The 17,361-nt window shown below is 41.1% G+C and overlaps 1 annotated feature.

The window, feature by feature from the left end:
- Positions 14,752 to 14,978: a silencer, noted in NCBI's record as "fragment chr7:148388173-148388399 (GRCh37/hg19 assembly coordinates)". NCBI's record gives its function as "represses an EF-1alpha promoter that drives an FKBP-Casp9 reporter gene in an ReSE screen in K562 erythroleukemia cells {active_cell/tissue: K562}" and the evidence as "EXISTENCE:reporter gene assay evidence [ECO:0000049][PMID:32094911]".

Consider the following 17,361-nt stretch of genomic DNA (forward strand, 5'->3'; position numbering starts at 1 on the left):
AGCTCAGCACAAAGTGAGAGACTCTATTTGTTTGGGATAAAGTAAGGGAAGACAACAAGAATCTCTGCCTGGTAATCCAGAGAATTTTTCCTGATCTTACCCAAGACCACCAAGGTGGTAGGTACCCCTACAAGTCTGCAAAAGCCTCAGCATTATTGGGCTTGGGGTGCCCCCTAATGCAGATATGGCCGCAGCGACCAAAAACTTAGATCACAATACCCAAGTCCCTTCAAATGTCTGGAAAGCCTTCCTGAGAAGGACAGGTACAAACAAGCCAAGACTGCAAAGACTACAATAAATACCTAACTCTTAAATGCCCAGACACTGATGAACATCCACAAGAATTAAGACCATCCCGGAAAACATGACCTCACCAAATGAACTAAATAAGGCACCAGTGACCAATCGTGGAGAGACATATATGTGACCTTTCAGACACAGAATTCAAAATAACTGTTTTGAGGACACTCAATGAGATTCAAGATAACACAAAGAAGAAATTCAGAATCCTATCCGATAAATTTAACAAAGAGGTTGAAATAATTGAAAATAGTCAAGCAGAAGTTCTAGACTTGAAAAATGCAATTGACATATAAAGAATGCATCAGAGTCTCCTAGCAGCAGAATTGATCAAGCAGAAGAAAGAGGTAGTAAGCTTGAAGACAGGCTATTTGAAAATACACAGTCTACGGCCGGGCAGGGTGGCTCATACCTGTAATCCCAGCACTTTGGGAGACTGAGGCAGGTGGATCACCTGGTGTCAGGTGTTCAAGACCAGCCTGACTGACATGGTGAAACCCCGTCTCTACTAAAAATATGAAAAAATGAGTCAGGCATGGTGGCGCATGCCTGTAATCCCAGCTACTTGGGAGGCTGCAGCAGGAGAATCGCTTGAACCTGGGAGGCAGAGGTTGCAGTGAGCTGAGATCGATCATGCTATGGCACTCCAGCCCTGGGGGACAAGAGCGAAAATCTGTCTCAAAAAAAAAAAAAAAAAAGAAAAAAAAAGAAAATACACAGTCAAATAAGTCAAAAGAAAAAAGAATGAAGCATGTCTAGAAGATATAGAAAATGACCTCAAAAGAGCAAATCTAAGAGTTATTGGCCTTAGAGAGGGAGTAGATAGATAGGGGTAGAAAGTTTATTCAAAGGGAAAATATCAGAGAACTTCTCAAACCTAGAGAAAGATATCAATATTTAAGTATAAGAAGGTTATAGAACATCAAGAAGATTTAACCCAAATAAGAATACCTCAAGGCATTTAATAATTAAACTCCCAAAGGTCAAGGATAAAGAAAGGAACCTGAGGCCGGATGCAGTGTCTCATGCCTGTAATCTCAGCACTTTGGGAGGCCAATGTGGGTGGATCACCTGAGGTCAGGAGTTGAGACCAGCCTGGTCAACATGGTGAAATCCCATCTCTACTAAAAATACAAAAATTAGCCGGACGTGGTGGCAGGTGCCTGTAATCCCAGCTACTTGGGAGGCTGAGGCAGGAGAATTGCTTGAACCCAGGAGGCAGAGGTAGCAGTGAGCCAAGATCATGCCATGCCATTGCACTCCACCCTGAGCAACATGAGTGAAACACCATCTCAAAAAAAAAAAAAAAAGAAAGAAAGGAAGGAAGGAAGGAAGGAAGGAAGGAAGGAAGCAAGAAAGAAACCTAAACGCAGCAAGAGAAAAGAAACAAATAACATACATATGGCCAGCAGTGTATTTCTCAGTGGAACATTACAGCCAGGAGAGAGTGGCTTGACTTATTTAAAGTGCTGAAAAAATAAAACTTTCATCCTAGAATAGTATATTGAGTGAAAATATCCTTCAAACATGAAGGAGGAATAAAGACCTTCCCAGAGAAACAAAAACTGAGGAATTTCAGCAACACCAGACCTGTCCTACAGGAAATGCTGAAGGAAGTTTTTTTGTTTTTTTGTTTGTTTGTTGTGGGGTTTTTTTGTTTGTTTTTCTTTCTTTTTTTGAGACTGAGTCTCCCTCTGTCACCCAGGCTGGAATGCAGTGGTGTGATCTCAGCTCACTGCAACCTCTGCCTCCCAGGTTCAAGTGATTCTCCTGCCTCAGCCTCCCGAGTAGTTGGGATTACAGGTGCCTGCCACCGTGCCCGGGTAAGTTTTGTAGTAGAGACAGGCTTTCACCACGTTGGCCAGGCCGGTCACAAACTCCTGACCTTAGATGATCTGCCCATCTCGGTCTCCCAAAGTGCTGGGATTAAAGGCGTGAGTCACCACACCTAGCCAAGAAATGCTGAAGGAAGTTTTTCAATCTGAAAGAAAAGGACATTAATGAGCAATGAGAAATCATATGAAGGTACAAAACTCACTGGTAATAGTAAATACACAGAAGAACATAGAATATTATAACACTGTAACTGCAGTGTGTAAACTACTCATATCTTGAGTAGAAAGACTAAAAGATGAACTGATCAGAAATAATAACTAAAACATCTTTTCAAGGCATAGACAGTACAACAAGATATAAATAGAAACAACAAAGTTAAAAAGCAGGAGAGCAAAGTTCGAGTTTTTATTAGTTTTCTCTTTGCTTGCTTTTTTGTTTATGCAAATCAGTGTTAAGCTGTCATCAGTTTAAAATAATAAGTTATAACATGTTATTTGAAAGCTTCATGGTAAGGTAACCTCAAATCAAAAACATACAACTGATACACAAAAACGAAAAACCAAGAAATTAATATATACCACCAGAGAAAATCACCTTCACTAACAGGAAAACAGGAAGGAAGGAAAGAGGAAGAGAAGACCAGAAAACAAATAACAAAACTGCAGAAGTATGTTCTTACTTATCAATAACATTGAATGTGAATGAACTAAACTATCTAATCAAAAGACGTAGAGTGGCTGAACGGATAAAAAACAAGACCTAACAATCTGTTGCCTACAAGAAACACACTTCACCTATGAAGACACATAGACTGAAAATAAAGAGATGGAAAAAGATATTCCATGCAAATGGAAACCAAAAAAGACCAAGAGTAGCTATACTTATATCCTACAAAATAGATTTCAAGACAAAAATTATAAGAAGAGACAAAGAAGGTCACTATATAATGATAAAGGGGTCAAATCAGCAAGAGGATGTAACAATTGTAAATATATATGCACCCAACACTCGAACACGCAGATATATAAGCAAATATTATTAAAGCTAAAGAGATAGACTTCAATACAATAATAACTGGAGACTTCCAGAGAGAAAAGCAACAAAGAAACATCATACTTAATCTACAGTACAGACAAAATGAGCCTAACAGATATTTACAGAACACTTCATCCATCAGCTGCAGAATACACATTCTCCTCAGCACGTGGATCATTCTCAAGGATAGACCACATGTGAGGCCACAAAACAAGTCTTTAAAAATTCAAAAAGATTGAAATTATATCAAGTATTTTCTCTAACCACACACAATGTAATAAAACTAGAAATCAATAACAAGAGGAATTTTGAAAACTATGCAAATACATGGAAATTAAACAATATGTTCCTGAATGACCAGTGGTTCAATTAAGAAATTAAGAAAGAAATAGAAAAATTTCTTGAAACAAATGAAAATGAATACACAACATACCAAAACCAAAACCTATGGGATATAGCAAAAGCAGTACTAAGAAGAAGGTTTATAGCAATAAGCACCTACATCTTAAATGTAGAATATTAAATAAACAAGCTAACAATACATCTAAAATAACTAGAGGCTGGGTGCAGTGGCTCATGTCTGTAATCCCAGCATTTTGGGAGGCTGATACAGGAGGATCACTTGAGGCCAGGAGTTCAAGACGAGCCTGGCCAACAGGCGAAACCCCATTTCTACTAAAAATACAAAAATTAGCCAGGCATAGTGGCACATGCCTGCAATCTCAGCAACTCAGGAGGCTGAGGTGGGAGGATGGCTTGACCTTGGGAGGCAGAGGTCGCAGTAAACTGAGATACCACCACTGCACTCCAGCCTAGGCAACAGAGCAAGACTCTTTCTCAAAAAAAAAAAAAGAAAGAAAGAAAGATAAAGAACTAGAAAAAGAAGAGCAAACCAAACCTAAAATTAGTGGAAGAAAAACATAATAAAGGTCAGAGCAGAAATAAAATAATACAAAAGATTGATGAAATAAAAAGTTGGTTTTTTGAAAAGATAAACAAAATCAACAAATCTTTAGCCAGGTTATCCAAGAAAAAAAGGAGAGAAGACCTAAATAAATAAAATCAGAGAGGAAAAAGGAGACATTACAACTGGTACTGCAGAAATTGAAAGAATCATTAGAGACTATTGTGAGCAACTATATGCTAATAAACTGAACACATTCGAAGAAATGAATAAATTCCTAGATACATACAACCTACCAAGATTGAACCATGAAGAAATCCAAAATCTGAACAGACCAATAATGAGTAACAAGATCAAAGCCATAATAAAAAGTCTCCCAACAAAGAAAACCTTGGGACCTGATGGCTTCACTACTGAATTTTATCAAACATTTCAAAAAGAACTAATACCAATCCTACTCAAACTATTCCAAAAAATAGAAGGGGACAGAATACTTCCAAAGTCATTCTACAAGGCCAGTATTACCCTAATACCAAAATCAAAGACACATCAAAATAAGAAAACTCCAGGCCAATATCCCTGATGAATATTGATGCAAAAATCCTAACAAAATACTAGAAAACCAAACTCAACAACATATTAAAAAGATCATTCATCATGACCAAGGGGGACTTATCCCAGGGATGCAAGGATGACTCTATATATGCAAATCAATCAATATGATACCTCACATCAATAGAATGAAGGACAAAAACCATGAGATCATTTCAACTGATGCTGAAAAAGCATTTCATAAAATTCAACATCCCTTCATGATAAAAACCCTAAAGAAAACTGGGTATAGAAAGAACATACCTCAACACAATAAAAGCCATATAAGACAAACCCACAGCTAGTATCCTATTGAATGAGGAAATACTGAAAGCTTTTCCTCTATGATCTGTAAGATGACAAAGATGCCCATTTTCACCTGTTCAACATAATACTGGAAGTCCTAGCTAGAGCAATCAGACAAGAGAAAGAAATAAAGGGTATTCAAATTAGAAAGGAAGAAGTCAAATTATTCTTGTTCGCAGATGATAAAATCTTATATTTGGAAAAAAAACTAAAGATTCCACCAAAAAACCATTGGAAGTGATAAACAAATTCAGTAAAGTTAAAGGATACAAAATCAACATAAAAAATCAGTAGCATTTCTATATACTAGCAATGAATAATATGAAAAAGAAATCAAAGTAATCTCATTTATGATAGATACAAATAAAATAAAATACTTAGGCATTAACTTTACCAAAGAAGTCAAAGAGCTCTACAATGAAAACTGTATAACGTTGATGAAAGAAATTGAAGAGGACACAAAAAGAATGGAAAGCTATTCTGTGTTCATAGATTGGAAGAATCAACATTGTTAAAATGTTCATACCACCCAAAGCGACCTGCAGATTCAATGTAATCCCTATCCAAATACCAATGTCATTCTTCACAGAAATAGAAAACAATCCTAAAATTTATATGGAACCACAAAAGACCCAGACTAACCAAAGCTATCTTGAGCAAAAAAATAAAACTAGAGGAATCGCATTACCTGACCTCCAACTATACTACAGAGCTATAGTAACCAAAACAGCATGGTACTGGCATAAAAACAGACGCATACACCAATGGAGCAGAATAGAGAACCCAGAAACAAATCCAAACATCTACAGTGAAATCATTTTTGACAAAAGTGCCAAGAACGTACTTTGGGGGACAGGGCAGACTCTTTAATAAATGGTGCTGGGAAAACTGGATATCCATATTCAAAAGAATGAAACTAGAACCCTATCTCCTGCCATGTATAAAGATCAAACCAAAATGGATTAAAGACTTAAATCTAAGACTTCAAACTATGAAATTACTAAAAGAAAACATTGGGGAAACTCTCCAGGACATTGGACTGGGCAAGGATTTCTTGAGTAATACCCCATAAACACAGACAATCAAAGCAAAAATAGACAAATGAGATCACATCAAGTAAAAAAGCTTCTGCACAGCAAAGGAACCAATCAACAAAGTGAAGGGACAACCCACAGAATAGGAGAAAACATTTGCAAACTACCTACCTCACAAGGGATCAATAACAATAATATATAAGAAACTCAAACAACTCATAAAAAATCTAATAATCCAATTTAAAAACTGGTAAAGATTTGAATAGACATTTCTCAAAAGAAGACATACAAATGGCAGATAGGTAAATTAAAAGGTGCTCAACACAACTGATTATCAGAGAAATGCAAATCAAAACTACAATGAGATATCATCTCACCCCAGTTAAAATGTCTTTTATCCAAAAGACAGGCAATAACAAATCCTGGTGAGGATGTAGAGAAAAGGGAACCCTCATATGCTGTTGGTGGGAATGTAAATTAGTTCAACCACTATGGAGAACAGTTTGGAGGTTCTTCAAAAAGCTAAAAATCGAGCTACCATATGATCTAACAATCCCACTGCTAGGTATATACTCAAAAGAAAGGAAATCAGTATATCGAAGAGATATCTTCATTCCCATGTTTATTGCAGCACTATTCACAATAGCCAAGATTTGGAAGCAACCGATCTGTCTATCAATAGACAAATGGATAAAGAAAATGTGGTATATATAAATGAGGGAGTACTATTCAGCCGCAAAAAAGAATGTGATCCTGTCATTTGCAACATGGATGGAACGTGGATGGTCATTATGTTAAGTAAAATAAGCCAGGCACAGAAAGATAGACTTTGCATATTCTCACTTATTTGTGACAGCTAAAAATTAAAACAATTGAATTCATGGAGGTAGAGAGTAGAACAATGGTTACCAGAGGTTGGGAAGGGTAGTAAGGGTAGAGGAAGTGAGGAATGATTAATGGGTACAAACATATAATCCGATAGAACAAATAAGATTTAGTATTTGATAGCAAAATAATAATTTATTGTACATTTTAAAATAACTAAAAGAGGGCCAGGCGCAGTGGCTCACGCCTGTAATCCCAGCACTTTGGGAGATGTAGGCAGGCAGATCACTTGAGGTCAGGAATTCGAGACCAGCCTGGCCAACATGGTGAAACCCCATCTCTACTCAAAATACAAAAATTAGCCAGGTGTGGTGGTGCACACCTGTAATCCCAGCCACTCGGGAGGCTGAGGCAGGAGAATCGTTTGAACCTGGGAGGTGGAGGCTGCAGTGAGCCAAGATTGCACCACTGCACTCCAGCTTGGGCAACAGAGAGAGACTCCACTTCAAAAAATAAAATAAAATAACTAAAAGAGTGTAATTGGATTGTCTGTAACACAAAGAAAGGGAAAATGCTTGAGGTGATGAATATTCCATTTACCTTGATGTGATTATTATGCATTGCATGCCTGTATCAAAACATCTCATGTACCCTATAAAAATATACACCTACTGTGTACCTACAAAAATTAAAAATTAAAAACAGCAATAAAAAAAGAAACCACAGGGTAGGTTAGACAGGAAGTTGAATATAAAGCATTATTAATTATGATGAAAGAGGCCAGGAACAGTGGCTCACGCCTGTAATCTCAGTGCTTTGGGAGGCTGAGGAGAGAGGATCACTTGATGCCAAGAGTTCAAGACCAGCCTGGGCAATGTAGCAGGACCCTGTCTCTACAAAAATGTAAATAATTAGCCAGGTGTGGTGGTGCACACCTATAATCCCAGCTACTCGGGAGGCTGAGGTGGGAGGATCACTTGAGCCCAGGAGTTCGAAACTGCAGTGAGCCGTGATCGTGCTACTGCACTGCAGTCTTGGCAACAGAGCAAGACTCCGTCTCTTTAAAAAGTTAAAAACTAAAATTATTTTTTAATTTAAAAAATTAAAGGTTGACTATAAGACAGAAGCAAACTCTATTTGTTACCCTAGGGCGAGGGAGCGTCCCCAAGGAAGGACAGACCTTGAAGGAGTTCAGAGCTCACTGGTGAAGGTGTGGTTTGGCCTACAGGAGAGAAGAGTTCGCTGGTTTTGCCAGGCCAGAGCTGGTCTGGAGTTGCTGCAAAAGCGCTAAGCCACACTCCAGAGCACAAGAGGGCAGTGGGGATCAACAACCGGAGGTGTGGATGTGCAGTGGGAGTCGGGGCACCAGCAGGGCAGAAGGCCTTGGGGGTGCAGGCTGTGTGGGGGACGGTGAGACTTGCAGAGGGAGCTGCTGCTGAGTGTGTGACCCTCTTGGAGGGCAAGAGGCCTCCAGAGCGTGCAGGACGTGACAGGCTCTAGTTTGTGTGTCAAGAGGCCCAAGGAAAGCTTATCGCCAGGCTGAGACTACAAGGACACAGAGGTCTGACTCTCGAAATTTTAAGAATTGGCAGGGCGCAGTGGCTCCAGCCTGTAATCCCAGCACTTTGGGAGGCCAAGGCAGGCAGATCACGAGGTCAGGAGATTGAGACCATCCTGGCTGACACGGTGAAACCCCGTCTCTACTAAAAATACAAAAATTAGCAGGGCATGGTGGCACACGCCTACAGTCCCAGCTACTCGGGAGGCTGAGGCAGGAGAATCACTTGAACCTGGGAGGTGGAGGTTGCAGTGAGCCGAGATCGCACCACTGCACTCCAACCTGGGTGACACAGCGAGACTCCGTCTCAAAAAAAAAAAATTTAAAGAATTAATTCAGTAATAATTTAACTCACATTTATAAGGTACTTGTTATTGAATCTTTCTTTCAACCGAAATTTATTGAACACTGACTATGTGCCAGCCACTGAGTTAGATGGTACTATTTGCAAGACAATATACCAAAGGCACCGTAAAAAGAAAAGCATATGTCTAGTCCTCAAAGCACCTAGAATCTAGACACATAAATCAGTGGAATAGAACAGCAAACCCAGAAATAGAAGACCACAAATATGCTCCACTACTTTTTCCTTTTTTTTTTTTTTTTGAAACAGAGTCTCCCTCTGTCACCCAGGCTGGAGTGCAGTGGCACGATCTCAGCTCACTGCCACCTCTGCCTCCTGGGTTCAAATGATTCTCCTACCTACGCCTCCCGAGTAGCTGGGATTACAGGTGCCTGCCACCACGCCCGGCTAATTTTTGTATTTTGGGGAGAGATGGTGTTTCACCATGTTGATTAGGCTGGTCTCAAACTCCTGACCTCAAGTGACCCAACTGCATCCCAAAGTGCTGGGATTACATGTGTGAGCCACCACATGCAGGCTTATGCACCACTATTTTTTGACAAAATTACAAAAATAATCCAATGCAAGGAGAGCTTTTTCAGCAAACATTGCTGGAGCAATCGGATAGCCATAGAAAAAAAAATGAACTAGACCTAAACCTTACAGCTCATGCAGAAACTAACTCAAAATGGATCCCACAGTTAAATGTAAAACATAAAACTCTAAAACATTTAGAAAAACACATAAAAGAAAACTTTCAAGACCTACCTAGAGCTAGGTGAAGAGTTCTCAGACTTGACAGCAAAAGCACAATGCATAAAAAGAAAAAGTGATGAACCGCACATTGTCAAAATTAAAATCTTTCACTCTGCAAAAGACCATATTAACAGGATGAAAAGACAAAGAGCCTAGAGTTTGGCACAGTGGAAATACAAGCAAGAAGCCACGTGTATCAAAGAGGCCCAAGCAAACAACCATGAGAACACAAAGGAGAACGAGATTTATTTCAGCCCAAGGACTCTGCAAAGTCTGATGAGATGAGAACTGAAGTAGGATTTGAAAGCTAAGTAGGATTGCAATGGATGAACCTGGGAGTAAGAAGCACATCCAGTGGAGAATTAGCAAAAGCTACGTGGAAGGAAAGTGTAAGGAACACGTATGCAGTGCATAGGCCAGTACAGATAAAGGAGTGAGGGTGGGCAGGATGGGAAGTGAGCCTGGAAAGGTTCCTGGGGACAATGTGTGGGGACACAGCCCTGCTCCCAAATAGCTCGCAGGTACAAAATGATAATTACAATAAGATGCAGGTAACTCTGACAGGAATGAACTCTGGGCTTTCAGAAGAATGAGATTGTTTAGCCAGGGGCTGTCCTGAAAGCTCCCATCACTCCTTTGGAAGAGCCTGGAGGCAGCAGAACGGAAAAGGCTGGGCTGCCTCTGAGCCTGCGCTTTCCCTCTTCTGCCACCTGTCCAGGCACAGGCTGGGATACCTGAGTCAATCTTTTTCCCGTGGGAGCCTCTCCCTTGCTTCTTCCCACAGTCTTCCTCAGACTGACAGCAGAGCTGGAAAAAGCACACCTGTAGCACCAATCCAATGGGATTATATCCTGCTCTGTGCAAGGTAGAGCCACCCTTCCTTCCCTTGTCTAAGCTAAAAAGCTATTTTTCTCACTACAGGGAAGCAAAACAAAAAGTAGGTCAGTTAGCAAGTGGTTTATGAAGTGCTTACTCAAGAAACACATCTCGGTAAATGCTTGACTATTTTTCAAACATGTGTGTACCCTGGGATTTAAAAAAATCACTTTATTTTGACCATTAGAGTTTTATATTCACTCTTTACATCGACTCATCTTATTCTATCAGGAAAACTTAAGTGTCTTAAGCGTCTGTGGCTCCGAGTAAATTTCTGTCTGTTACCAGTTTCTTCCAGGTTGTCTTGCCGGTACCTCCAAAATACAAGTGCCCTTGCACTGTCCAAGGAGCATTTCTTTCAAAGGCAATTAAGTCGGCTGTCTTAAAATAACCAGGGATTAGATTACTGAATATTTACCCATTTCTAATCCTTTAGTAAAAGGTTAGAGCTGTTGGAAGGAAAGAGGTAGGAAAAAATAAAAGGAAATATCATTGACAAAAGAATCAGGGGCCGGGTGCCATGGCTCACGCCTGTAATCCCAGCACTTTGGGAGGCCGAGGCAGGCAGATTACAAGGTCAGGAGATCGAGACCATCCTGGGCAACATGGTGAAACCCCATCTCTCCTAAAAATATCAAAATTAGCCTGGCGTGGTGGTGCACACCTGTAATCCCAGCTACTCGGGAGGCCGAGGCAGGAGAATCGCTTGAACCCAGGAGGCAGAGGTTGCAGTGAGCTGAGATTGCACCACTGCACTCCAGCCTCAGTGACAGAGTGAGACTTCATTTCAAAAAAAAAAAAAAAAGAAGAAGAAGAATGAGGAAGACATATTGGCTTCCCAACTGGGAGGAAAATTTGAGTTTTTCTCTTGAATATTTAGTTGCCAGCCTCCCACCTACGTTGTCTCTCCTGCTCTCCTACCCAATCATGCAAGGGGAATCTTTGAAATTCTTGTTTTCATGTTGGTATTTCTCTCTTGTTTAACTGTTAAGGTCACAGAAACAGACTTGTAGGCTGATGCAGTCCTCAGAGGAGCCAAAACCAGAGGAGTTGTGGTTAATAGCACTGACTAAGTTTCTGGGACATTATCAGCAAAAATAACATACAGCTCTCATTGTTCAGTGAGTTTGATTTCTGAACTTACTCTGTCAGCAGAACTAGCCAGATTTCAACTGTAAATTAATCCAGATTTCAACTATAAATTAAACATATATTCTTTAAGATCAGGCGCAATGGCTCATGCCTGTAATCCCAGAACTTTGGGAGGCCAAGATGGGCAGATCACCTGAGGTCAGGAGTTCAAGACCAGCCTGGCCAACATGGCGAAACCCCGTCTGTACTAAAAACACAAAAATTAGCCAGGCGTGGTAGTGCGCACCTGTAGTCCCAGCTACTTGGGAGGCTGAGGCAGGAGAATTGCTTAAATTGGAAGGCGGAGGTTGCAGTGAGCCGAGATTGCCTCACTGCACTCCAGCCTGGGTGACAGAGTGAGACTCTGTCTCAAGAAAAAAAAAACAAACAAAAATACCTTTATTCTTTAAAAATGGTCGGAGAAATTAGGCAAATTCTAAAGCGGTCTCCTCCCTTGGCATCCCATAGAAAAATTAACTGGCAAAAAAGTACCTTTTCCCATAAAGTGGCAGTATAATATCTTTCTAGTTATTATCTGTTAATTGATGATTTCAGCCTGCCAGCTCCATTTTTCCATTCCCAGAGTGAATATCAAGTCAAAAGCAACTAACCCTACAGACCAAGAAAACAAAGCTCTAAAGCCATTGAAATTTCTTAAATTCTCTGTGTACATTATCTTAATACTATAATTGTTCTTTAAAATACATCATATAAACAAATGGTGTTGATGGGCTATGCCATGTTCCTGGCATGAATGTAGTATGACCTGGAAAACACACTTCATCATTCATGACTAGAATGTTCTCTCTGATTTATGCCAATAAAAACTTGGAATAATCCAAGATATACTTTACAAGTATTACATGAGAGCATGCATGCAAGAATTGTGACTCAAACACTTAAAACCCATTTTTGGCAATTGAAAAAAGAAAGTTCGGGAGGAGGAGGGGTTTGTCAGAGGTCTTTTGCTTGGTGTTTATTAAGAAACACCAGGATACAGTGAGGGCAAAGAGGCTGAGGAAACTTCAGAGAGAAGATGACATTGGATCAGGAACCTGAGGAATGATTGAGATTTCTCCACAGAAAGAAAAAGGAAGAGGACATTTCCAACAAAGGAAAACCAGGAGCACCCAAATGGCCTGGGAAGCATCTGCCTGGTTTCAAGTGTGTCTGCAGCACAAGGTCTAGGAAGAGACGAGGCAAGAACAGACACTGGGAAAAGGGACTGAGGTCTCAGCGTGAAGATGATTATTGAATGTCTTGTTCCAGTACGTGAAACCATCAAAAGTTTGTTTTGTTTTGTTTTGCTTTTTTGAGGCAGAGTCTCACTCTGTCACCCAGGCCGGAGTGCAGTGGCGCGATCTTGGCTCACTGCAACCTTCATCTCCCTCCCGGATTCAAGCAATTCTTCTGCCTTAGCCTCCAGAGTAGCTGGGATTACAGGCGTGTGCCACCACACCCGGCTAACTGTTATATTTTTAGAAGAAACAGGGTTTCACCATGTTAGCCAGGCTGGTCTCGAACACCTGACCTCAGGCGATCCTCCCACGTTGGCCTCCCAAAGTGCTGGGATTATACACGTGAGACACTGTGCCCGGTCCCATCAAAAGTTTTTGATAGCTATATTAACAGTGATAATAACATACTAATGTTTTCTATGTATCAAATATCCAACACCAAGAAATGCTGTAATTTATTTGTTAAAATCTCCTGTGAAGTGTCAACTATTCCCTGTTTTTTTGTCTTGTTTTGTTTTTTTGAGAAGAGTCTCACTCTGTCATCCAAGCTGGAGCGCAGTGGCACGATCTCGGCTTACTGCAACCTCTGCCTCCGGGGTTCAAACAATTCTCGTGCCTCAGCCTCCCATTACAGGCGCCTGCCACCACGCCCAGCTAGTTTTTTTTGTATTTTTAGTAGAGACAAGTTTTCACTGTGTTGCTCAGGCTGGTCTCGAACTTCTGAGCTCAAGCAATCTGCCTGCCTCAGCCTCCCAAAGTGCTAGGATTACGGTGTGAGCCACCACGCCTGGCCAGTATTCCCATTTTATAAGTAGGAAACTGAGTCATAGACAGATTAAATAACTTGTCCAAAGTCAAACAGGAAGTAAGCAGTAGAGCCAAGATTTAAACCTGGGTGCTAGCTCCAGAGCCCATGCTGTCTTGCTTCTTGAGGAAGTCATGACCATATTTTAGAAAAATAGCTCCACAGCTGTGTGGAGGATGAATTGGAGGAGACCAGAGGCAGACAGACAGTGAGGAGGCCCTTTCAGCAGTCCAAATGAAAGCAAATACAGGAACAAACTCAATGGGATCTAATAAACAAATGGAGCAGGGAAAGGGCAGAACAGGAAATAACTGAGGCTGCTAACTTGAATAACTGGGCAGATGGTGATGCCAATATAAGAGACAGAAAAACAAAGGAAAAGATATGAGATGGGTCAGGGGTAGAATAAGGAATAATGGTCTTTATTTGAGGCCAAATGGTTTGAAATATGAGGGACGTTCAAGTAGAGAGGTCTGGCAAGCAGCTAGAAAATCAGACCTGAAGTGTGGGAGAGGTCAAGCTGAAGACAGAGATGGACCGCTACTCTTGAAGGTAGCAAACGTTAACTTCAGCTCTCCTCACCCGCATGGGGTCTTCCAAGCACCTGGCAAGGGCCTTAGCAATATGTTCATGTTGTCATGTTTCTTTTTTGTAAAAATTTCAAAAGTAGGTTATTTTTGATGTGATTAAGACCAAGACTGTTACCTCTTTCCACCCTAACATCTTCTTCACACGTCCCCCCAGGTCAGGTGGCACTGGAGTCCTCTAGGCATTTTGGGGGACCTGTTTAGGGGCAAGATAAGTTTGAGATACAATATAGGTTGGGCTTCATGGGATACATTTAGGGGAGTTCCGTGTGTAACTAAGTTATTGCTAGCCATCCTAGCATAGACATTTTCTTAAAGAGTACTCCTGTGTTAAATTATATAAACTTCAAGCACCATGAAACCTAGAAGTGTCCCTGAATAAAGTCGGAGATGATAACTTGACATAGATGACAAGTGAAACTGACAAGATCACACAAGAAGAAGATGTAGCAAGAAAAGATGGCCAAGAATGGAACCTTCAGGAACCCACATTTAAGAGGAGGGTGGAAGAGAGCCAGATGCAGAAAGATTTATCAGCTAGAAAAGCCATGAGGGCATAAGAGTCTGGGAGTCAAAGGATGAGTGGTTTCATGATGGAGGGGCAGGTAGAACGAACATCAAATGCAGGAGAGGAACTGTTGAACTTAGTAGGTGTGTAGAGATGGGCTGAGTCACTAGGAGGTAGGAAACTTGAGGCAATGAGTATAAATTACTTTTTTTTTTTGAGACAGAGTCTCACTTCATCACCCAGGCTGGAGTGCAGTGGTGTGATCTTGGCTCACTGTAACCTCCGCCTCCCAGGTTGAAGTGATTCTCCTGCCTCAGCCTCCCGAGTAGCTGGGATTACAGGTGCCTGCCACCACGCCCAGCTAATTTTTGTATTTTTAGTAGAGATAGGGTTTCACCATGTTGCCCAGGCTGGTCTCGAACTCCTGACTCAAGTGATCTGCCCACCTCAGCCTCCCAAAGTGCTGAGATTACAGGTGTGAGCCACTGCGCCCGGCCAAGTATAAATTACTTTTTAAAGAAAGAATATCCCATTTGCTACATCCGGGGTATCCCACGTAGTTCTTGTGGTGTTTAATGTTATGCGTCAACTTGGTCGGACCGTGGTGCCTGGATATTTGGTCAAACATTATTCTGGATGTTTCTGTGAAGGTGTTTTTTGGATGAGATTAACAGTCATTGGTGGACTTTGTTTTATTTATTTTTGTTTGTTTTTTCTTTTCGAGACAGAGTCTCACTCTGTCATCCAGGCTAGAGTGCAATGTCACCATCTCAACTCACTGCAACCTCTGCCTCCCGAGTTCAAATGATTCTCTTGTCTCAGCCTCCCAAGTAGCTGGGATTACAGAGGTGCGCCTCCATGCCTCGCTATTTTTGTATTTTTGTATTTTTGTAGAGACAGGGTTTCACCATGTTGGCCAATCTGTTCTCGAACTCCTGACCTCAAGGGATCCACCCACCTCGGCCTCCCGAAGTGCTGGGATTAATTACAGGCATGAGCCACCGTGCCTGGCCTCATTGGTGGACTTTGAATAAAGCAACTTGCCATCCATATGTGGGTGGGCCTCATCAAATTGGTGGAAGGCCTTAATAGAGCAAAAGACTGACATTTCTTGAGCAAGAAGAAATTCTGCCACCCTGATGGCCTTCACACTTGAACTTCAACATTGGTTCTTCTGTGAGTGTCCAGCTTGCCAACCTACCCTGCAGATTTTGGACTTGCCAGCCTCCATAATTTAATACAGTCCTGTAGATACAAACTTGTTCAAGAATGTCTTTAAGAAGCTTACCCAGTGCAAGGGGAGAAGTGGAATTCACATCAGGTAGAAGAGCAGGGAAGGTTTCACTAAAGAGACTGCATTTCAGGTAGGCCCAGAAGGACGGGTTATATTTGGGTAAGCAGTGACTGGAGAAGAGCAATTTCTGTGGAAGTTACAGTTGGATGAGGAAATGCATGGAGCCTAATCAGGCATTCATAGGAATCTAGTTTGGATCTGGTATGATAAGCATAAGAAACCAGAGGGACTGATCCATTAGAGCCAAAGTGTAGAGAATGCTTCAGTATTAGGAATGAGGTGTTTGAGATTCTTTTAGGAAGCAGAGAATTACAAAAGGTCTTTGAGCAGGAAAGTGGAATGACTGAATTTCATAGTACAAACAATCCCATTAGTGCATGCGTTGGGTTCTAACCACTTTCAGTATAATATGTGCCACGCACTGTGCTAAATGTTGTAGATATAATGACAAAAGACACAGCGTCTGAATTCAAGGAGCTCACAATCTGTGAGGAAGTAGGAGATAGAGAAGGGAAAAATTATAATGCAATATAATAACTACATGGTACAAAAGAATTACACAAGAAGGACAACTAATCCAGGTGCAGACATGGGGTGGGTTGAGATATGGAGGGTCATAGAAAACTTCCTGGAAAAAGCAATTCTAGGCCAGGCTCAGGGGTGCATTGTAGTCCCCACTACTCAGGAGGCTAAAGCGGTAGGGTCACTTGAGCCCAGGAATTCGAGACCAGCCTGGGCAACATATCAAGTCTCGGTCTCAAAAAAAAAAAAAAAAACACAGAAATACACAACAACAAAGGGAAAAAAGTAGCCTGGGCAACATTGCAGGGAAAAAAGAAAAAAAAGCTGGGCATGGTGGCACATGCCTGTGGTCCCAGCTACACAGGAGGCTGAGGTGGGAGGATTACTTGAGCCCGGGATGTCAAGGCCACAGTGAGCTGTGATCAGACCACCACACTTCCAGCCTGGGTGACAGAGACAGACCCTGTCTTCAAAAAAAAAAAAAAAAAAAAAAAAAAGAAAGAAAGAAGAAAAAGAGGAAAAAGAAAACAATATTTTAGGACACTTTTCTTTCTCTGAATAATATCTCATAGAAACTAGGTTGAATAATTGGAAAATACATTGCTATTTCATCTCATACAATGTTAACGATGGTGTTTAGGTCTCCCAGGTCAGACTCAAAAGGTTAATTCATGACTATCTTACAGCAGTATTTTCTGGATTCCAAAATAAGAGGCCTAGAACTGGCAATATGCAAGATCTGAAATTGGACAGGTTAAATTTTTAAATCCTTCCTTCTCCTTTTCTTCATTTTCTTCTTTTGCTTAAGGCTCCTCCTCCCAGAACCTCTGGCCTAAGGCCTTCAGCCTTCCCTGAGGCACTCAAGTGTTTTTCCAAAACTTGATTTGCCCCAAACTTTCTGGGCTTAGGTGC

The sequence above is a fragment of the Homo sapiens genome, chromosome 7 (assembly GCF_000001405.40).
Source record: "Homo sapiens chromosome 7, GRCh38.p14 Primary Assembly".
NCBI lineage: Eukaryota > Metazoa > Chordata > Mammalia > Primates > Hominidae > Homo > Homo sapiens.